This window comes from Homo sapiens, chromosome 4 (genome assembly GCF_000001405.40).
Source record: "Homo sapiens chromosome 4, GRCh38.p14 Primary Assembly".
Lineage (NCBI taxonomy): Eukaryota > Metazoa > Chordata > Mammalia > Primates > Hominidae > Homo > Homo sapiens.
The window spans coordinates 177,787,391-177,811,595 of NC_000004.12; the positions used below are offsets into that span (position 1 = coordinate 177,787,391).

At 36.6% G+C, this 24,205-nt stretch overlaps 1 long non-coding RNA gene across 1 annotated transcript in view; it reads left to right on the top strand.

Moving 5' to 3' along the window:
* The window catches only part of LINC01098 (long intergenic non-protein coding RNA 1098), a 261,994-nt gene that overhangs the window by 58,634 nt on the left and 179,155 nt on the right, over window positions 1–24,205 (top strand).

The window sequence follows — 24,205 nt, forward strand, 5'->3', positions numbered from 1 at the left end:
AGAGATTTGAGAACAGAGGTGATTTGTTGTCCCAGTTTTTGGCCAGGCTTGAAAAGTGGTAAGATCTCACTCTGTACTGGGAAAGGCAGGGCAGCACAGGCTAGGAAGGATGGCAGGCCATTTTGAGGCAGTAGTGACCTAAAACAGCCTCATAGTGTTTAGGGTCAAGCAAAAGCATCAGAATTTTTTTTTTTGGTTACCCTAAAAGGAGCTCCAAACTGCTGGAAACACACAGTGCTTAGAAAGGACTTAAGTTTGGGAGTGAAAGACAATGATACCATGACCTTAGCGGTAGACACTGAAGTCTATACAGGGTAACATACATTTCAACAAACACTACCATGGTCCAGCGTGGACAAGCATCCATCTCTTCAGTGGCATTACATAAATCCTAAGAACCGTTCAAACTTAAAAGTTAGATCATCTTCAATTAAAGTGATATTACTTAGTTGGGTTAGTTGCAGCTTTGAGACTTGTAACTCATAACTGAAAGACATAATTCACCAATAATCCTGATAAACAGAGCTTTTGACAGTTTGTGTTTCTGATTATTCTCCAATACATTTTCCAGATTGAGTTTCCTTAAACAATGATGTGTAGACATAAGGAAGGACTCATGAAAACATTGAAATAGATTCTAGTAAGTCTTAGACCATTAAAAGTAAAATTTTACAATAAACGTGAGCAAAGCTTTAATAGTACAAAATTGTAAAAGATCTAGAGCAGAAGTATATATAAAATAGGCTTAAAAATAATGCAATAGTTTTATAAATATAGCATACTAGTGTTATAAATTCCCCATTAAACATCAAATTAATAGAAATTCAAAATCCTTTCGTCTGGTGTGATTCTATACAAGCAAAAGGATTTTCTTTCATATCTAATCATTCAAGTTGTGCTTATTTGGCCTCCTAAATATTTTTCCATAATTGCCTTTTCTTCATCACTTCTACAGCTATAAATACAGACATCATGCTAAATAGTGGAGACCTACCATGTATGTGGCTCCTCTGTGAAGGAAATGACTGTACAGTGTGACAAAGGTTTTGCTGGAGAAATACAAAGTACTACAGTGGAGGTGATATCGTTTGGATATTTGTCCCCTACAAATCTTAGGTTAAAAATTGATCCCCAGTGTTGTAGTTGAGGCCTGATGAGAGGCGTTGGGTCACAGGAGCAGATCAGTCAAGAATGGCTTGGTGCGGTCCTTGTGGTAATGAGTTTTGCTCTATTCGTTCCCACGAGATCTGATTGTTAAGAAAACCCTCGTACCTCCTCTCATCTTTCTCCTTGCCTCTCTCACCGTGTGATATTTGTTCCCCTTCCACCAAGATTAAAAGCTTCCTGAAGTCCTGACCGGAGCAGATACTGGTGCCATGCTTCTTCTATGGCCTGCAGAACTGTGAGATACATAAACCCCTTTTCTTTATGAATTACCCACCCTCAGGTATTCCTTTAGAGTGATGTAAAAGGGACTAACATGGGACAGATCTAACTTATCCTGTAGTGTTGAGAGGAGGTGCCAGCTGGGCTTCCTGGGTCAAGTAGGGTCTCAGAAAGCTGTGAAACTTACTCATTTCCTGCATCAGGACTTCTTTCGGTCCTGGATGAATAAGATTGAAGATATATGCTTAAAATATTCCTAACACCGGGGTTTGTGCATGTGTTTTCTTCCCCAAGAAAGCTATAAACAGCACAAATTTTGCTCTAAGTTTCCCTGTGTCCTCTCTCCCTCTCTCCCTTCCCCCTCCCCTGAAACTAAAGTAAAAAGAATGCTAACTGCCCATTTTTCTGTGACCAGCGGACCTTATCTATACTCCCAATTCCAATTCCTTGTAAACATACTTTGTAAAGTCCTGTAAGATCCTGTCTCCTTTGCCATGCCGCTACAAGGCCATAAAGTAGATAAAACCTAAGTTGCAATTCCAGTCTTCCTCAAATCTAAGACATGTCACAAAATAATTTACTGCCTTTGTTTCTTGCTCCTGTAACAAGCTTCCTGCCTCACGTATCTCCCACCTTAAAATGTTTAAAAGGCGAATACCCAAACTAGCAGTGGCTACCCTTTCGGGACCCCTTCCACACTGTGGAAGCTTTGTACTTTCACTCTGCTCAATAAAACTTACAGCTTTTTCTCTCTCTCAGTTGGTGTCTCTATCGCTCGCCGCAGTCAGCCGCCACACCAATTCTTTGGCGTCGCTAAGCAAGAACCTTAGGCGTTACAGTGTCAGGGATGAAAGCCCTAAAGAAAATAACTTGAGACTGAGAGGAAGTTTTCTGGGTAAAAGGTCTTTGGAGTGAGGATGGAAATGGGGTGAGAACATTAAGAATAGGAAACAGCATGTGGATGGTATCTGAGAAAAGGGAGAATAAGGAGGGCTGCCTGAAAATAGCTAATGTGGTGGAGCCAAGAGTGCGAGGGGAGTCACGTGATACAAGGCTGGAGAGGATCCAGAGGATCGAACAAGTTAAGGATTTGTTCTAAAGGCAACCATCAAAGGGCCTTAAGCAGCAGATTGACATAAACTGTACTTTTAAAGAAAGCTCTACCTGTTGTGAAGAAGATGGAGTGGAGAAGAGGAGCGAGGACTGGACTGGGCAAGATGGGTTGAAGTTAAAAAGCCGCTCCATGTGAGGGATCCTGGTGACCAGGGCTAAGGCAACTCCACACACACACACACACACACACACACACACACACACACACACACACACGTATGTATACATATACATAAATGCTTATATTCATGTACCAACGTTTGATTTCAAGTATCCATTAAACAGATAAAATGACCATATAGTAAACATTTTTCAAAAACAAAAATACGTTTTGCAGTTAATCTAACCATGTAGGTAAGAAATACCTTAGGGAAATGTCTTTCAAAAGCTGTCTTTTGAAAGCTTATGTTTCAAGATGCTCATTTAGGGTCACGGATTAGAGACAAGATGAGATTTTTAGTTTTGGTTAAGAGACTATGATTAATTCTATTTCCAACTGTCCTAGGTGTTTGCTGAAATGTCAGCAAGGTGTCACCTGTCCCACTAATTGAAATGGCAGGACGTTTCCTGCAAGAAATATGAACCACGGTAGTACACTGTGTGAAAAATCCTTAGTGATGTGGAAAAAGTCTGTCACTGTGTCAAGGCCTTCAGTGTCAGCATGGAATATGCATATCATGAATTTGCAGGTGGAAGAATCGGCCACATTATCTGCCTCAGTACCTGGTGATTGAGGAGAGTCTGAGCTGCTGCAGTAGGAATTGCAAGATGAAGGATGAATGCTGGGGTCATTTTGTAAATTAGTGGACTTCAAGTAATTATCTTTTGAATTGAGCATAGTTTACACAAAGAGAAGATACCATGGTTGAATACATTGTGAAAAAAATTGCTATGCCTCTAGTTAGGTCAAGATAAAGAAAAGGAGAGCAATTAGTAATTGGAAAAAAATCACCAAAAAAGTTGAATGTACTCCCTGTTGCCACAGAAAAACATTTGGACCATAATAGTCAAGTCTGAATTGTTAATCTATAATGTGTACACAATACTAAATTGAGGGGAAATGACATTAAGATTATAATTAATGTGCATTTTCTGGCAGGACAGGTGGAGGAGGAAAAATTATGGACATTTATAGTTTGGTAATAACTGGTTATTAGAATAATTAAAATCTGAGGCCTATATCAATCAGTAATACGTATGAAGCATCCACAGAACGCCTTGTCAAGCTCCTGTGGAGATCCTTATTTTTCCCATCCAGAAAGACCTTGGCAGTCAGATACCATTTGACACCTATCTTGCCTCTAGAACTACACGTTTGAAGTATTCTCGGAACTAGCTGAACTGTAAAGTATATTAACACTATGTATATAATTTTACTTTCTCTATTACTTATATAGCTGTCTCATATAAGGTTGTCTGCAAATATAAGACCACACCCCTCAGAAGAAAAGTGCAATTTGAAGTTAGCTTTATCCAACTTCACATCCATTTAATATGCTGACATATGTCTTTTTTAGAATTATATACCTCTGTTGTGTCTTCCTGCAAGCAAATTAAGATGCAAGCTACAATGGCTTGTTACATTTCTAGGTCTTATATTTTTTCCTGACCCCATATTGGAGGCAAGTTTTCTCACCTCCACTCATTTCTCATTTCGAAGTCATAGGTTTAACCTCCATTTTCATGCCTAACATCCGTTTTGACATTAGGTTATATCTTTAGGAACCTGATGTTATTGATTAAAATACTTCAGCATTCAATATTTTTGTTCTTAACGTCATTTAACTTATAATAATCTAGTTCCTGAAGTCGGTCATGTCCCAACAATCTAAATTACATCTTAAGTTCAGTTCCCCAAATATTAGTATTTTTGATAACAGTTCTGTAGCACAATACGTTCAAGATTGGTATCATCTCTTAGTGTGACCAGAAGTTTCAGCTACGGGGTGCTGGATTCTACCAAGTAAGAACCAACTTTCTGCTGTTTATCTACTTTCCAGAAGCTCCACAAATTTAAATGTTCCTGGATAACACCATTTCCTGCTACTATCTAGTGAACTCTATTAACTGCTGTGAGTAAAAGTAAAGAATACCCTACCGAGGCAAACTATAGAAAATTCAGCCTCAAATCATAGGCTACATGTTGACCAAGAAGGCTACACTGTCCAGGTAGTGTACCTGCATCATGGTGAGGCCACCATCTACCTAGTTCCCAGTCCCTGGAGCAAAAGTTCTTGTGTGTGTATGTGTCAGTCCGTTTTGTTTTGCTATGAAGGAATACCTGAGGCTGGGTAATTTATGAAGAAAAGAGGTTTATTTGACTTATGGTTCTGTAGGCTGTACAAGAAGCATGGCACCAGCATCAGCTTCTGGTAAGAGTCTCAAGGAGCTTCCACTCATGGTAAAGGCAAAGGGGAGTAGGCATCACATGGTGGGAGAGGAAGGAAGAGAGAAAGGAGGGGAGGTGTTTGGCTCTCTAATAGCCAGATCTGAAAACTGAGTGAGAACGCATGCAATCCTGTGAGAATGGCATGAAGCCATTCATAAGGGATCTGCACCCATAATGCAAACACCTCCCACCAGGCCCCACCTCCAACACTGGGGATCACATTTTGATATGAGATTTGGAGGGGACAAACATTCAAACTATTTCAGGGCATATTGCGGAGTTCATTTGACTTGAAGAGTTTGTTGTTGCAGCATAACTTTCAAAATGAACACAAAAAATTACTAATTTGTCTATTGATTTTAGGATTGTGAAAGAAAAATATTGAAGGGTGAATAACAGTTTGATAAGTGAACTAAGAGAGGGTGGTATATTTCAGGCAGAAGAAATAAACATTAAGGAAATTACAGAAAAATGCAAACAGTGTGTTTAGAGATTAGGAACTATTTTGGAATTATTCTCTTTTCTACTTTCCCATTATACTGTATATCTCTACCATAACATTTTTTCCATGGTTACAAATTAATTTTGTATATGTCCATTTCTTAAACTTTGAGTTCCTGTGAGCAAGAACATATTTTTTCATCATTTTGTCCTCCATGTAATCTATCTTGTGCAAAATAGCTATCTAATGTTCATAAGTTTAAGTTACGTAGAATTAAAGAACTTATTTTCTTTGAATGTTTAATTCCCTTATTGAAAACATTGTCATTTAGATACACACTCCCAGAAAAAGTATCTATTCTTCCCTGAGAAAGACATACAGGACTGCCATGGGCTTTGTGTAAACAAAGTGATTTCAAGCTGACAAGACACATTTAGATTTCTGAGTAATTATAAAAATAGCCCTAGATAAAGTCCTTATAAATGCTTATAACATTAACAGCTCTGTGATATGCATAAATACACGTAAGTAAAATGCCACAGGTTATAGTCCTTAAAAACGCTTCGTGCTTACAGTTCACATAGCAGTATGCATAAATACACGCATTATAATATCACAGGATGCAATTGTTAGAAACTGCTTGTAACATTAACAGGTCTTACCGTGAAGTGCATGTAATAAAAAATACTCAACAGAAGTATTCATGGCCAAGACATGGGCTTAACCACAAATAATTTTTCAATTGGGAGCAACAGATTCAAAGCATTCAGTGGTGCTGTAAATGTTTGCATGCTTCTTTTCAACTAAACCAGACATTATGTGACCTGAAACAAAATTTTAGTAACTTCAAGTGGTTTCGAAAGAGTTAAGTTTGTTTTTTTATGAAAAGCTTTCTGTCTCCCCTCTGCCTTTGAAGCTCTTCTACAGAATGTGAATGCATATGTGTGTAAATATCCTCATTGTTTCCAATGCCAGAGAAGATCTTCACAGTGATTCTATTTATCCAAGGAACTGAAATTTATCAGGTCTTAGATCTTTGTAAACAGGACTTTACAACTCAAGATATACTGAAAGATTGACATTGGAGCCTTCCTTCAGGACCAAAGCTAGCTGTCAAATTCCAAGGACATCTATAGGATAAGCAGCATTGCCCTTCCTGTGTAGGTGGCCACCAGCGTGTGATTTCAGCTGGTTTGAGATGGTTTCTAGCAAGAATCCCTCACACTAGTTCCTGTGTTTGGTTGGTATTTCTCTTAATTAAGAGTGATTTTCTTATTATATTTATCTTTATAATTCAAATATTTCTATAACATTCATTAAAAACACACAAGTTATCGTAAAATAATTTCTAGAACAGAAGCGAATAATATTCTATGATAGGAAAATTGAGGAATAAAGTGCCAAAACTGGAGTTTGAACAGTACTGAAAATATTTTAGACCAGTGATCAGTTAGAAACCAGATCTGTTTACTACAAGGAAAAGGGTAACAGGATAAAACCTTATTAGCAGTGGTAACAGGGAAAGATTCAGATGGGTTGTTCAGTGTCTGCCCTCTTTTATAGAGCCCCCTGGTAATAGTCAGCAAATAATGGTCACGCCATAGGAACCTGGCAGTAAACAAAGGGCAGTCCTAAAAATGTAGAGTCTAGCCTTCCCTTTGATGAAGATGACCGCCAGTATGATACACTCAGGTCAATGATATTACATTTTACCTTCCCCAGAAGACAAGCCTGATAATGAGATGCCCACCATAAGGAATTTCTGATGACTTCTCATAGATTACAGAAAGAAATTCAAAATTCAGCATGACAAACGAGACCCTTCATATTTGATGTTGCACTTTCCTTTAAGATTTACCTTTAACATCTGTTCTCTGTCTAGCTCCAAGCATATTGCTAAGCAGAGGTGGTATTCTTCACACTTCCCTTTTGCACTTGAACTTTCTCTTGCCGGGAATGTTCTCTATTTCACCAGAGGAGCTCCTGCTTAGCCTTCAAGACACACTTCATTGTTCTTTTCAGCTTCCTCAGTGGACCAGTTATAGGGCACTTCAGAATGTTTCAATTTTGTGTTTAGACGCCTCAAGGAGCCATTAGTCCCTTAGCTCCATGAGGAAATGGATTGTCTCTTATAGGAGCCTCATGTGCAACTATAAATTAACACAGAATCTGATATGCTTATCACCATACAACTCTACAAAAACAATGTTCACATTGAAAGTTTTTTTTCTGTTTTAATAAGTACGCCAGATTTAATGGAAGTATTTTCTTTTGTTTCCTTTTTCTCTAGTATATTTAGATTGCAATTCTAAAATTGAGACTGGATGACACCTGAAAATGTGAAATGAATAAATAATATGAGAACTTTTAAAATTTTCTGATCTTTCTGACAAAGCTCAAGTTTTGTTCGGAGTAACTCATATTTTTAGAACTATTTCTAAATGTTTACCTTAACATGTAATTTTCCGTTGTGAGTTTTAAATAATGCCACATAAAATGTAACCAGTTATAATTTTATTAAAAATTTGGAGACCAAGCTACTGAAAAAAAGTTGATGACATTAAAGAACTTTCATAAAGTATGTAATTTAGTTTTGTGTGTGAAGCCTTTAGTAATTGGACAACTGGCTGCCTTGTGAAAATGCATTATTATCACTAATATCTTCATTATTTGTAGTATAACCATATGCCTCATGATTCTTTGTGACAGCCTGTTGTTATTTTGTGAGAAAGATGATTAGGCTATTATTTGATTTCAGCACATGTATGGTTTATCAGAAAGTCTGCACAATGTGAATAGGCAGTTTTTACACCCTCAAAGCTCCAATTTTGTAATAATTATATAAATAGTATTCTCCTCAAAGTGAGGCTCTTCTTGTTAATGTCCAGTGTACAGAACTTGGCTTGAGTATGGGCATGAAACAAAGCAATTGCGCATCTGCAAATACAGGACATGTACTACCATGTTTGTGTCAGTTTCTTACAAAGGCTAAGAATGGTTGTGGTGGTGGGGGCGGGAGGAAGGTAATGAGTGGGTGGGATTTAGCTGAAGGATTAGAAAAGAAGCAGCTCATTGATTTATTCAACACATACCTCTTTGATTCCTAGTACCGAACTGTGGTTTAATGAATTGTAAGGTATAGCATAAAAACAACGGTTAGATTAGTGGTTTTGCCCTTGAGAAATGTTTCCCGCCTGTAGTCCCAGCTACTCGCGAGGCGGAGGCAGGGGAATCGCTTGAGCCCGGGAGGCGCAGGTCGCAGTGAGCCATCGCGCCACTGCACTCCAGCCTGGCGACAGTGCAAGACTCCGTCTCAAAAAAAAAAAAAAAAAAAAAAAAAAAAAGAAACAGAAATGTTTCCACCTGATGATGAGCTAAACAATTAGATATTATGGCATCATAGAGAAATAAGAAATATCCAGAAATCTTATGCTATATTATGCTGCATATTGATATTTATACCACATAGCCAAGTTTTTCCTTTTTAAGGAATTCCCCCATCCTAGAAGATATTTGTAGTTATTCATATATGAAGATTCCTCACTTTTGAAACTTTAGGTCTGTATTCCATTTGGATTTATTTCATTTTCTTTACCTCCACAACTGGTAGGATTTCTGTCTACCATCCATTTAGGTTCTCATTTTGACTATCCAACTTCTTGAAAGATTCAGCACTTTTCAGCCTCTGAGCTCTGCTCTGTTCCAAATAAACTTTGATTCACCTTCGCAGTTCTGATTTCTCTCATCCCTGGGACTTCTTTTTCTTGCATGAAGTCCTGGGAGCAAGCTTCTCACGTGGTTTTGTTCCTTCGTTGTGGGGTGGTCGGGGGAGTGTGGTCGGTTCTAGATAATTTCCTAAACAAAAACATTAAATTGCTTTTCCAGGTGCCAAAAGAAAAAAAAAAAAACTCTAGCATTACGTATGGCAATCAAAATCTTCCTCATTATGATCCTGTGACCTACTATTCCAAATATTTGCACTTTTCCTCAGAAAATATTAAATAACCATTTTCAAACACATTCTTCCTTTCCACCACAGTCACTTCTAGTTATTTGTGTTAGTTACGTTCTATAAAATTGTTAAGAAAAATAAATTAGCAAATACTGAACCATTTGCTGCCAGGGGAAACACGGGGTCAGATTTTCATGAACAAATCAATACATAACTTTGATGTTTGTTTCTATTTAAAGACACATTATTTGATATATATTGTTGATTCATTAACAGTAAGCTTATAATCACATTATAATATGTATCTGAATGAAGTTTATTTAACAACATGTTTTCTTTGTAAGGAATGTGACAGCCTTGTTATGCTAGAAACTACTTCAAGCTGTGCTTGGGGGTTATTTTAAACACCAACAAAAATCACAAAAGAGAAAAATGCAAATATAAATATGTCACTGAGAAAAGGATACTTGTTTATAGTAGGAGAGCTGCGATAAGAAGGCACAGTGTCACCTGCTTTGACCTCAGCTGGGAACGTTCTTGTCAGGCAACTCGAATTTTTCTCCGTTCTGCACAGGTCTGTGAATGACTGTGAAAGCACTGGTAGTACTGATTTGGGGTTACAAATAAACTTTAACAAGCAGGTGAGTTTGCAAATACAGAATCCACAAATAATGAGGATTCTGTCCTTGCTTCTAGTTGAGGTAAAAGCAAAAAGTTGCAAATGGATTAAAAAAGACTATTTTTGGCAGAAGTTGTAGCATTCTTATCTATTGTAGTATTCAAACATATATTCTCATTTTTAAAAGAATGATAATGGTTAAATATATACTGAGTTCTCAGTACGTATCAGGTCCCGTGCTAAATGCTTTATGTGTGTTAACTCGAGCCTAATCCAAAGTTTGAATTGTGGAGGAAAGTTGTATTATATTGTGTTAGCTTGGATGCGTACAGGAAAGAACTAATAATCTGTGAGCCAAGCAGCCACCGTAAAGTTGAGCTCAGATGGAACAGGTGACAATGATAGGATTAATAGGAAATAAGTGTGAGGGCAGAGTGAGTGCAATCTCAAACAGTGTGTATTAGAAGACGTTTACAAATAACCTGTTAACAAAGCCACATGTTTGCATGTTTTATACCAGAACCTTGAATGTGGGAAAAAATGTTACCGTCTTTGCAAAAGAATTACATGCACTTAAATTTTTGAGAAAAGATTGGCTCCAAGAAGTTGACATAACTATATTAGCTAAAGCTCAGCTTCCAAATTGTAATCTTTTGTAGGTTTTTTAAAAATGTTTTATTTGCACATTTTCCTCCATTTTCTCAGGAACTCCATGTGAAATGACATTCTTTCCCACCTTGGAGGAAGGGGTGAAATGTGAGGCATTCATTTACATGGAACAAAATGAGTGTAAAACTTTTAATTATATCTTGGCTAGAATTTGCCTGAGAATTTAAAGTGTAGGCCTGGCCTTATGCCCCTCACCTAGCATTCAAGGGAAATGAAATAATTAAAAGAATTACCAATGCTTTTAAAGCATGACCTTTTACAGATGACTCACAGTAGATGATTTTATATATATCAACTAGATACAGTCAAATAGTCAAGAACATTTTGCCTAGAAACTCACTTGTTTTTTACTGCTATAATGTAGGCTAACTTTCTTTGACCTCTGATGTGTAATAGCCTCATATCTTAAAACCCCCACTCAGATCATCCTCTTTTATTATGAGCTATTTCATCGTCATACCATTGCTGCTTCCCTTAAAGAGCATCATTATACTCTTGACATTATTTTATCAGATGGACTTGTAAACTATCTAATTCCATTAACAAATCTATGAAAAAAGGGGTGAGGAGGGCAATTCTTTTAATTAACAAGTTGATTTTATACCACAAAATAATGGAACTACCTTGAAAGCAAATTTAAATTAACAGCTTTAAATGAGTTGGTTATAAAATGCTTAGATACAAAGAAGAAAAGAATGAAGCAGTAAAAGAAGATAAAGAATGAATATCTTCTTCAAAAGAAGGCTGTATAGATACCTATCACTTTGTGGTGAAGCTCTTCTAGTATACTAAAATATTTGATCCAGCACAGCAAAGAGTCTTAGAGAGAGAGGAAAAGAAAGATTAAAACAAGACCTAAACATGATGGTTTCTGTCTCTTGTGTTGCCGTGCTCTGAAACTTGGCCTTATTTTACCCTTTAGTTTCTGCTTTCCCCCACCCTTTTCCTATCCTGTGTTTTGTGGGTCATTTCATTTGCCATTCTCTGCAGCAAATCCAAAAAGAAATCCTAACTTGTGGTTAACAGTATTAGTACCTCCAAATTCCTAATAACCCCTCTATTCCTCTGCATTCAATCGATTTGACGCTCTGTTTTCAAGATTGTATATTTTGCATTTTTCATCAGAAAAATAACAGTATCTGCTTTATCAACTTAAAATTAATTGATTTCAGAATATATCTATATTATGACAGCTGATTCATTTATGCATTCATCAGTAAACATTGAAGAAGTGCCTAAGGTGCTTCAGAAACTATGTTAGGTTCTTATTAGGAACCAATAAGGAAATAAAACTACCAGGTGCCTGGCTCTCATGATCCCTTCTGTCTAGTGGAGGAGACAGACTTAATAACACGATCGCATGAGTCAATGTATCATCACAAACTGAGACAAGAGCTGTCGTGGAAGAAATCCATTTGGATAAGCAGAAAAATCTCTGTGAAACGCCCGGATGTCAAAAATGATTTCCCTAAAGAAGTAAAACTTGAGCTGAAATCTAACCACAAGAAGAGGTGGTGGTGGTAGGCAGCATATCATAAAAGAAGCATGTGAAACCCTACACAAGGGAGGAATGGGGAAGTTTGAGGAACCAAGAGATGACCAGATATGCAAGGGAGTATGGCGGAAGATGAGACTAACAGGGCGGAATCTACCAGGGCATTTGGCACCTCACGTGCTTTATTTTGGGTCTCAGCCTAGTGCAATCCAAAGCTGAGAGAGAATTTTAAACTAGGAATAGATGGAAGAAGTGAGTAGCCAGGACATATTTGCACTTTGAAAAGTCTACTCTCACTGAGATCATTTTTTTTTTCTTAAGTCAGTAAATACAAGAATTACATATTTCAGGATATGAGAATATTTTCCCTCTATTTTTGATTGAATTTTAATATATTACTTACTGTTTATTTGGCCCCTAAGCTAAACATTATTTGCTGTGTCAGTTTTGAAATCATGTATCAAGTCTGTAACTAACCTAAAAAATTTAAGTAGAATGTATCCTTTACATATAGGATAAAAGACAAAGGTTTTTCTATAAATTTAAAATATTGTATAAGTGACCTTGACAAAGCAGCAGTTTATGATACGCTGTATCTGACCTGAAAGAAAATGTTTTTTGTTTGCTTTTTGTTTTTTACTTAAAATTACTCCTGTATTACATAGCATAGAACAAGTTCCCAAGAGGTTGTGAGCCGGAGTTTTGGGGCGTCATTGCCCCAATGCATCAGTGCAATGCATCTTTCCTTTCAGTGGGAAGAGAGGACCATGAAATTTGACTGGATTCCTCTTCTTTGTTTGGCTGATCTCCGGTATTGGTTTGCTTTTTCTATAACATGTCCTTGAGCAGTTTTCCAAGTAGGTTATTGCTCCTTGTGAATGTTCTCACTCGGAAGTGTTTTCTATAGCTTTGGCCCCTCTCCTAACTACGCCTTATTTTTAAATGATTTGCCTTGTTGAGTAGTATCCAGGTTAGGGCTCCAACAATGTGGGCCATATCGTGGCACATACAATATTTCAAAAAATAATATAATTAAGAAAGTAATATTCTTTTTTTTAGATAGTGTCATTTGTTTCATTATACTGGTCTTATCTTTCGTTTCATTTTCCAGGTATTCTATAAAGATATACTTTCAAGAATTAGACCCACTGAAATTACATAAATCTTACCAGTGAAAGCAGGGACATCTTGCTGATGAGTAGCTATGATCCCTCCCTTTTCTTATTTATTTTTGTTTTTATTTTATGTTTAATTGATGCTAATTGTGCATATTTATGAAGTGCAGTGTGATGGATGTTTTGATATATATAAAGCTTGTGTAATGATCAAATCAGGGTATTTAGCATACCTTCACCTCAAACGTTTATCATTTCTTTGTGGTGAGAACATTCAAAATTTTTTCTTCTAGCTATTTTGAAAAATGAAATATAGTACTGCTAACTATCGTCACTCTAATGTGCGATAGAACACGATCACTTATTCCTCTTGTCTAACTGTAACTTTGTACCCCTCCACCTATCTCTTCCCATCCTTTCACCCCTGCTCCTCCCCATCCTCTGGTAACTACTGCTCTACTCTCTACTTCCAGGAAGTCAACTTTTTAAATTTCATATAAATGAGATCACGCAGTATTTGTTTTCTGTGCCTGACTTACTTCGCTTAACATAATGTCCTCCAAGCTAATCTGTGTTGCCACAAGTGACAGGATTTAATTCTGTTTTTGAGGCTGAATATTATTAAATTGTGTATATATGCCACACTTACTTTACCCATTTATAGGTTGGTGGACACTTAGGTTTATTTCATATCTTGGCTATTGTGAATAATGCTGCAGTAAAGATGGGGGTGCAGATATCTTTTCAACATAGTGATTTCATTTCCTTTGGATATATGGCCAGCGCCAAGTGGTAGGATTTTTTGATCTTATGTTCTATTTTTAGTTTTTTGAGGAACCTTCATACTGTAGTCCATGATGGCTGTAGTAATTTACATTTCCGCCAATAGTGTGTAAGCTTTGCTTTCTCCCGTCCTTGTTAGCATTTGTTACTTTTTATTATGTTTATGATAGCCATTTAAACTGGAGTGAGGTGATAATGTCATTGTGGTTCTAATTTGCATTTCCCTGAAGGTAATATTCTCGATAGCAGAAGAAGCAGTATGACACCTTCTCTGTAAATTTATGTTTCTTCTCAATAGTCACTTGTGTCTGTGACCTCTGGTGTACATAGTATACATTTGGCTACCTCTGAAATCCTTCTTTATACCACCCACAAGTAAAAGCAATGAATAGAACTTTATCATCACTCTATTATTCCCATGGTTATCTTAATTCACATACTATATTCCATTTATTTATTTATTCAATTAATTATTATTGATTGATTAATAATAAACTAACAATTATCACTGTACCAGGTACTGGAATTACAAAAGAGGAAAAGGCATGATTTCTGCATTCAGGAACCTCTCTGTTCAGTAGGGAAGAATTGCATTAAAAATAGATCATCAGTAGAGTGTGATAAATCCATCATTAGATTCATGTTTGAAATGCCACTGGAGCACAGAAATAAAAACTATTTGGGAGACTATGAATTATGAAATGGATTAAATATTGCAGATTAGATAGGACACTACCTATTGTATATATTTCCAGAAATAATCTAACCATGATCTGATCAAATTTTTATAAAACAGATAATGGTTTACATTTTCTCAAGTATCACAGCAGTTAATTTTAATTTCTGTGATATCATCCTGCTTTACACTGCCTTTCATGTCAGAATGAATCCCTATTTCCTGAAAATATCCTGCAGCTTACACTGACTCTTCTGCAATGAATCATGCCTGCAGCCTAAGTACTTGGTGCCTCATGATGGGGGCATATTATGTTCAATAACGACATGAGCTGACAAATGTGAGGATTTGTTTTAACTGTCACATCAGTTAAAGCCTGATTAGATGTCCTTATCAAAATACATACTGATAAGACAGCTGTGCTCCACTTTTGTTTTACCAAACCTAGCAAGTATTTTATTTGCAATAAAGAAACTGAAGGGCCATCAAATTGTGTAGAGCCATCTGCTTCTGAAATTAGTTTCATACAGGGGATTTAATCCACAGTAATTCTTATCTACTTATGATCTTGGAAATGCATTGTGTTCTTTAAGTCTACAATTAACTACGAGCATCTAATTCTACTCTATCACCTTATATCAAGTGTGTTAGCGCCATTTTCCAAATGGCAAAACATGGTAATAACCCAGGACTTATGCATGATAATGAATCATATCACAGGGCTCAGTCTGTCTAAAAAAGTACTAGGAACTCTCTATGCCTGCTAAGAAGCATATGGAGAAACATGACATATGATCCAGTTTATAAAAGAACAACTTAAAAATTTAATGTAGTTAAGAGCAGGTGGGAATTCTATAAATAATGAGTCAGACTACATTTTGTCAACATCTCAATTGGGACTGAGCCATATATTGCCATTGCTTAATTTTCCTCAGCCTCTTGGACTATAGGATAACCCATTAACCATATTTTATTCATCTATGTGTTCCTAGGGGCATCTCTGACCCATTTTTCACAAAACATAAGGAATTCATGTGCAAGGTTGAATATATGTGAGTTAGATCAAAGGTGTTTTAAGATGTTTAAACGGCTTAAATTCATTTTAACAAGATGTCTTTTTAAGACAACCTTTCCCAAGCCCCCCAAAATCAATATCTATCGTTATTTGCATCTACAGTATATGGCACCTTCTTATACTATCTATATATAGTCTGTCAAATAATTAGTGCACTGCCTGGCTTCCACCCCTGTTTGTTCCCAAGGCTGTTAATGCTGCTGCTTTTCCTCACTAATTCTAAGGCTTTGACACACGTTAATGTGCTCTGACCCAAACAATGAGCAAACTTTCTGGTTCACTAACACAATTGCTTTTTGCAAGGCTATGTCTAAACAGACCACTATGAGAGATGAATCTTCATTCCCTGGAGTTTAGCAGTCCAAAAAAAAAAAAAAAGTAGAGCGTATAAGTGTGATGAAACATGTCTTCTGTTATTAAGAAAAAAAACCCCTTGTTTTATATAAGCAGAAACAAGTGGAGTATACTATAGGTTAAAATGTTAATATTTGTAACATAGCAATTTTGACTTATTACAGTGTCCTGTAATATATTTCCTTTATCAAATGAATGCACATAAAGTGGAATTTTTTAATGAGAAACAAGTATATTTATGTATTCCAGATTTATTCATTTTATTCATATACTATGTGTTTTAATGTGTACTTATACACAAATAAATCAACAATATATAAATGAATAGCCTTTGAAAACTATCCTTTTAAAACTAGTAAAATGCATATCCAATTTAACTTTTGAATATTAATTACAGTACTTTTGAACCTATAAATACAGTAAGTTCTAAGATTCATACTTTAAAAAATGCAAATAACATGAATATCCTTTGATTTATTCTTTCAATTTATTTAAACAATATTCAATTAATTGACATCTGTCAGGCAGTGGGGATGCAATTATGACCTAATCAAACTTAATTCCCACCCCTTTGGGTAGATTTGATTACACTTTAGAGAAGAAGATGGATAATAAAGAAGCGAACAACAAATAAATATCTAAGGAGAAATTATAAGTACCATAAAAGAAAGAAATTAATCACCACCCAGATGAAAATAGAGACCATATATCTGAGTAAAAGAGTCTCAGGGTGGAAAATTATGGACTTGGATCTATGCTCTGATGGTAGGGGCTTGGACTTTTTCAATGCCGACATCGAAAATAAACTATCCCCTAATATGAAACCTAGTAATGATTTTACAAAGAGAAAATTGCTCTTAGACAGAAACATTCTAATGTTCTATGTGAAATTAATCAGGTTTTCCAATTAGAATAGCAATGAGAAAAGTATTACAACTTAAGAGCAATGCAGTATTCATTTTAGTGTGTTTACCCTACTTAAAGTGCTTTATGGTGTAATTTTGTGTCATGAGATGAAGTTAATTAAATTTGATAATTCTGTATTATTCCTTCAAATAACTAGAGAAAAAATTAACTCACTTTCCACATGTTTATGGGACTAAAAGAAGGTTGAGAATCACTGGCAAAAATAGTGTGGTTCAACTATTATGCCAAATATGTAATTTATACATTTTACATCAGATTGAGAAAATCCTTGTCATTCTTTTCCTTGGTTTTGTGATTTAGAAAACAATATCTATTACATGTAAAACTAGTAAATATATTACATTTAAATATCAAATATATACTGATAAGATTAAATGTACTGAGTTTATCCTAAATAGAATGACATTGTTACAAGAATTCTCTTTTGACTTTATCACTAATGCTTAGTGATAGACTTAAATATTATTAAGTACAGTGATTTAGGAACTTTGTGTGGTAGATCCTGTGTTTGGGTGTTTCTTCTACAATATTTCTGTGAAGTTAATTGTAATTAACAGAAAAAAAAAACATAGGAATATAACCATACTGTTTTTTATTTTTAAGATACTCATTTTATTTAAAATGTATTCATGGTCTAATAAATTTTTCTTTGTTCCCTAAATTACAATAATGATCTTAGTAGTGTAAAAAAAAGTGGATATTGACTTACATACAAGCTTGATGAAATGTAACTAAAACAGACACAAAATGGAAAGATTCTGATTCATTAAGACAATATTGTTAAATTATTAATACTACCCGAAGCAATCTACAGATTCAATGTAATATGTATCAAAATCCCAATGTCATTTTATATAGAAATAGAAAAACATTAAAAAATCCATATGGAACCATGAAAGACCATAAATAACCAGATCAATTTGGAGAAACAAGAACAGAGCTGGAGGCATTATTGTTCCTTATTTCAAAATATATGACAAATCTATAGTAATCAAGACAGCATGGTACTGGCTTAAAGGCAGACACATAGACAAATGGAACAAGAATAAAGAGCTCAGAAATAAACCCACACACATATGGTCAACTGATCTTTGACAAGGTTGCAAAGAATACACAATGAGCAAAGGTATTCTTTTCAACAAATGGTGTTGGGAGATCTGGATATCCACATGCAAAAGAGTGATATTTGATTGATATCTCACACCATACATAAAATTCATCTCAAAATGGATTAAAGAATTAAACATAAGGCCTGAAACTGTAAAACTCCTAAAAGAAAACAGGCAAACACCTTCAGGACATTGGTCTTGACAATGATTTTATGGATATGACACCAAAAGCACAGATACAAAAAGCAAAAATACAGTGGGACTACATCAAATTGAAAAGCTCCTACACAGCAAAGGGACTACAGATGGCCCCTAGCTTATGATGATTTCACTTACAATTTTGACTTTACAATCGATTTATTGGGGTATTGAATGCATTTTTGACTTAGGATATTTTCAATTTGGATGGCTTCATTGGGACATAACCTCATAACAAGTCAGGGAGTGTCTGTAAATCAGACAGTGAAAAGGCAATTTATGGAACGAGAGAAAATATTTGCAAACCATATATCTAATAAGGGGTTAATCTCCAAAATATATAAGGAATTCCTACAACTCAATAGTAAAAAAATAATAACCCAACTTAAAAAAAGGGTAAAGGACTTAATAGATATTTCTCCAAAGAAGATGAAAAAATGGCCAACAGGCCTGTGAAAAGGTGCTCAACATCACTAAATCATCATGTAAATGCAAATTCAAACCGCAATGAAATATCACCTCTCAGCTGTCAAAATATGTATTGTCAAAAGAGGGAACGTACTGGCTAGGATGTAGAGAAATGGGAACCCTCGCACACAGTTGGTAGAAATGCAAAGTGGTACAACTGTTATAGAAAACAGTGTGGAGATTCTTCAAAAAAATAAAAATAGGATTACTATATGATTCAAGTAACCCCACTTCTGCATATTTATCCAAAAGCATTGAAATCAGGATCTTGAAGATCTATAAGACCCTTATGTGTATGGCAGCACTATTTGCAATAGCCAACATGTGGAAACAATCTCAGTGCCCGTCCCCAGACAAACGGATATAAAACTGGGGCATATGCATAGAGGGGTGTGCCTTTGAACCTTTAAAACAAAGGAAATCTGCCAAATATGATAACATAGATGAAGCTTGAGGACATTATGCTAAGTGAAATAATCCAGTTATAGAAAGACAAATGCTACATGATTCCACTTTAATGAGGTATCTAAAATACTCAAATTCATAGCATCAAAGAGCAGAATGGTGGTGGCAAGGGGCTGGGGTTTGGAGAGATGGGGAGTTACTTCCTAATCAGGGGCTTACAATTTCAGTCAAGCAAGATGAATATGCTCTAGAGATCTGCTGTACAAATTTGTACCTTTAGTCAATAATAATGTACACTTTAAATACTTAAGAGGGCAGATCTCATGTTGAGAGTTCTGTCTTATTTTCACCAACCTGTATTTCATGAGTAAGAATTTATAAGACAAAATTTAGAATACTGATCCCAGTGGTTTGAGATAAACATGCAAGGCCAGCAGACTTAATTTACTTTGTTTATAATCAAATTGCAATTGGAGACGCAAGAACCATTCTCACCGTGCTGCTTCTGAACATTACAGCCATGAGAAGAAGGTGCCAAACTTTCTAATTACTTCACTTTTCTTCGCTGTGAGGAGCTCTAGACTTTAAGAGAATGGTTCCTTTTCTGCCTCTGTGCTCACATTGAGACTAAAAGCAGGTTGAGAGAAATGATGTACATAGTACATAGCCACATTTAAAAATCTTACTGATACTTTCTTAGTTCTTAGTGAAATGAGAGAGTAAGGTAAACCACTCTAAGAGCCTATGCAACTCCAAATTCAATGTCACTATTAAGTCATATTTGGTAGTATAGTAATGCTTACACCCATTATTAAAATTTTGCTAGCCTATTACTTTACAATTTTTAACTTAACCATGATGATAATGGCTGGGCGTGGTGGCTCACGCCTGTAATTCCAGCACTTTGGGAGGCCGAGGTGGGCGGATCACGAGGTCAGGAGATCCAGACCATGGTGAAACCCCGTCTCTACTAAAAATAAAAAAAAATTAGCCGGGCGTGATGGGGGCGCCTATAGTCCCAGCTACTCGGGAGGCTGAGGCAGGAGAATGGCGTGAGCCCGGGAGGCGGAGCTTGCAGTGAGCTGAGGTCGTGCCACTGCACTCCAGCCTGGGCAACAGAGCGAGACTCTGTCTCAAAACAAACAAACAAGGAAACAAACAAAAAACCATGATGATAATGCAGCAGGAAAGTTCCCTGACTCGTTCATGGGCGGGAACTGGAGTGCATGGGTGCTGGGACTAGCTGGCCACTTAGGTGCCAACAGGGGTGAACTCCACTCATTGGAACCCACAGTGTTCCACCCCTCGCGAGAAGGGGAGCATGTGGGTGAGTGAGTGCAGGGGCCAGGGCGAGTGCTTTTGGGAGCCAGCAGGAGCAAACTACATTCTGGACCTGCAGCAGCATCTGGGGGGCATGCTGCGACCCCTGAAGCCCCAGAAGGAGAGTTACAATGTCCTTTTAGCTCTACTATCTGTGGATGGTTTAACTGTTAACAGCTCAGTGCAGGGTCAGTGTGACAGCCTTTTGTACCCACACTCATGGCACCCGAGTTCTTGTCTGGTGTCCAGGAGGGATGAGGACACATGAATGAATTGAAGATGGTAAATGTAGGGGATTTTATTGCTGATGCAAGAGGCTCTCAGTGGGAAGGGTTGCTGAGAAGAGGACAGAGTAGGAAGGTAATCTTCCCCTGAAGCCAAGCTTCCTGGCCAGACTCCTCTCCTAAAGCTATGCCATTAAGACATCCCTCTGAAGTTAAGCTGCTTCTCTCTAACATCCAACCATAGTCTCTGACATCCAGCTGCTTCTCTGTTAGCTGAGCCTGGGGTTTTTATGGGGACAGAATGGGGGATGGGACAGGCTATGACTGGTGGGAAAACAGGGGTGTAAGTTCTCACTTTGGGCCATGGTATCAGGCTTTTCAGCTTGAGGGTGGGGCCCTAGCTGGGGACTCAACCTCCCAGAATTTCTCTGCCTTCTGTCCCTATCAATAGTAGACTGTAAATGCATTTAAATTATCTAGATAAAATTATTGAATAGAATAAAATTTAGTAGAATTAAAAAAACACACAATGTAAAGCTTTTCCTTAAATATTACACAACTCTTGATTCTAACTGCTTTTTGGGGAAAATCAAATATCACAAAAATATATAAATAGAAGATCCAGCTTTAATAACTGATTTTAAAAAGGATTGTTTCCCTTGGACTTCGCATTCTTGGAATAATCTTCTCCCCCTGCCACCCCTCCTAAAAGAGTGAGAGAGGCCGGGAGTGGTGGCTCACGCCTGTAATCCCTGCACTTTGGGAGGCTGAGGCAGGCGGATCATGAAGTCAGGAGATCGAGACCATCCTGGCTAACATGGTGAAACCCCGTCTGCACTAAAAAAAATACAAAAAATTAGCCGGGCATGGTGGCAGGCGCCTGTAGTCCCAGCTACTCGGGAGGCTGAGGCAGGAGAATGGTGTGAACCCAGGAGGCGGAGGTTGCAGTGAGCCGAGATCGTCCCACTGCACTCCAGCCTGGGTGACAGAGTGAGACTCCATCTCAAACAAAACAAAACAAAACAAAAAGGGCGAGAGAAAGTGAAGGCAGAAAAGCAGAAATGAACAACAGCAGTGGCAGCTCTCCTGCAAACACCAAGAAGCAGCCACCCAAAAGGACTGTGGTCTGGGAATGAATTTCCCCTCCAAGTTATAGTGCTGTAGGTGTCAACTGCTAAATAAGCTTTAGCACGGGGTAGCAGTTAATTGATGTAATTGATTATTTTTCCTCAATAGAAAACTGCATCTTCTTTATGTACAATCGTATCATGGGGAGAGTTAAGTTTAGACAATTTGAACAAGATGTAATTATCAATTATGGATTCCTCTGGGTCCACGGTCATTATTATCTTTTAATGACTTTGTTCCTTTTCATATGATTATTTGGAAATTACATAGTTATTGTTCCCCTTAGTGAATTGCAAAAATTTTCTAACACAATGACATTCTAATGAAAAAAACAAACCTAGTAAGATACTCGTATCATCCTTTGGATATTTTGACAAAGCATGACTTAAAACAATTCTATGGGGAACAATGAACCAAAATGACACAAGTGTACCACAAAACGATTTCATTTTTGATGTTCCCTGCTAATATTTTTATTGACCTTTTAAGTTTATCTAAGAGCTTTTTAATGCAACAGGCTATGTTAGTAGGGCTGTGTGTGTGTGTATATATATATATATATGTAAACTTTTTTTGCACAATATCATACATTTCAGTCTTTATCACGCTGGGAACAATAAAGTAACAGACTGCAATGCATTAGCATCATAAAGAAAATGTAATAAATGACTTTATAACTGTAGTAAAAGTTGCATGAGCACCAGCAGCTGTACCAGAGATGTTGCTACAGCAGCGCTTTATGACCTAATGGCACTCAGTGGGCTGATAATATTATGTGTGTGTGTGTGATGCCAGCAGTTTCCAAGGCCTAGATTTCAATTCGATAAATAATTGAAAGCACTTTTAGACTTTCCCATAAAATGTTTAACAAGGGATCAAATCCTCCCTCCCTGTACTAGAAAATTAAATAGTTTTTATGGGAGTATTTTATGATGAAATCCTAACTACTAACTGTGGGAAAAGTGGTATTTTTAAACACAGCAGTTGAAAATAACTCCTCAAAGAGTTCGTATTGCATTGAATTTGATGAACAGTTCTTTCAACTTAAATTTTTCTTCTTTGCTTAAGTTTCTGGCTTTTCAATTTTGAAGCCTGCCTGTAAGAACTGGGTTTTTTGAAATGAACGTGTGGAGGATGGCACAGTCATGGAGCACTGTGGACACGAATCAGGAATGCACATAGGCTAGAGGACTGCAGTGAGTCAATATTCTGGAAATGACAGAATGGATATTCCTGTGCTGTCAGTGTGCAATTCACCATGGGTTCTTTACGCTGTTAAAGGGGGACAAAGAAGTGAGACTGACTTTTCTCCTCTCTTTAACAGAACACATGAGATGTAAAATGAGTGCTCTGTGAGTGGTTAAAAATTTCTTATAATGTACATACAATCTATGAGATTGGAATTTTATTTAAAATGGAGAAAACAAAAAATATGTTTCCTTCAAATAAGAGAAATGTTAATGGTAATTTTTATTACTACGTGTGACTTTTTTTCTTAAGAGGAATAATTTCATAATTTTTGTTAAATGCCTTGCTTCTTCTGCCTGTTTTTGGCTGTTCAGAGTCTGAAGGGAATTAGTGTATACACTGCATCAATTGAAGTGAGGTTACTAATCAACTGTCATAAACATTGTCTGTCAATGACGCCATATGGCATATGTTCTTAGTTAATCCAATATACATCATGAGTGGGACATCATCTTAATGTGATATGAAAAGACAAAAATTACATAAAATAGTGGAATCTCTCTGAGACTAACTTGTTTAAAACTATCTCTTGAGAATGATTTAACAGAAAGTAGAAAAAAACTAGCAAAGACAACAAAAAAGAACACTTAAAAATGGTTAGACTATATATGCTAAATGTGACCACCTCAACTCCCCAGTAGCTCCTTACTCCAATTCCATTAATAAACAAAAGGGACAAGAAACAGCCATCAGTATTCCCACTAACCTAGGTGTAAATTTTGAGCAAAGCCATTTTGTCTAAAGTAGAACATTCTTCTCCCTCATTTTTTGCTTTATGTTTATAATATTTTATTTGCTTTTGTAATAGCATATTCTCTGAGAAGAAAAAAAGCTGTTACTATTTGCCATCAGGATGAAAAACGTAAACGACAGGTAAATAATCTCATCTTAAGACACCGTGATAAAATGAGCATGAAGTTGAAGAGACTCTGAGATGCTCCTACCATCTGCATCAAATAATGGAAAGATCATTACTGGATTTGAATGTTAACTCTGCCCCTCAGTAGCTGTATGACTTTAAAAAAAATCGTATGGCTTCTGAGATTTGAAATGTATTTAATCACGGACTGATGTGATGCTTATGGAAATTACTAAGCAGACAGCACATAA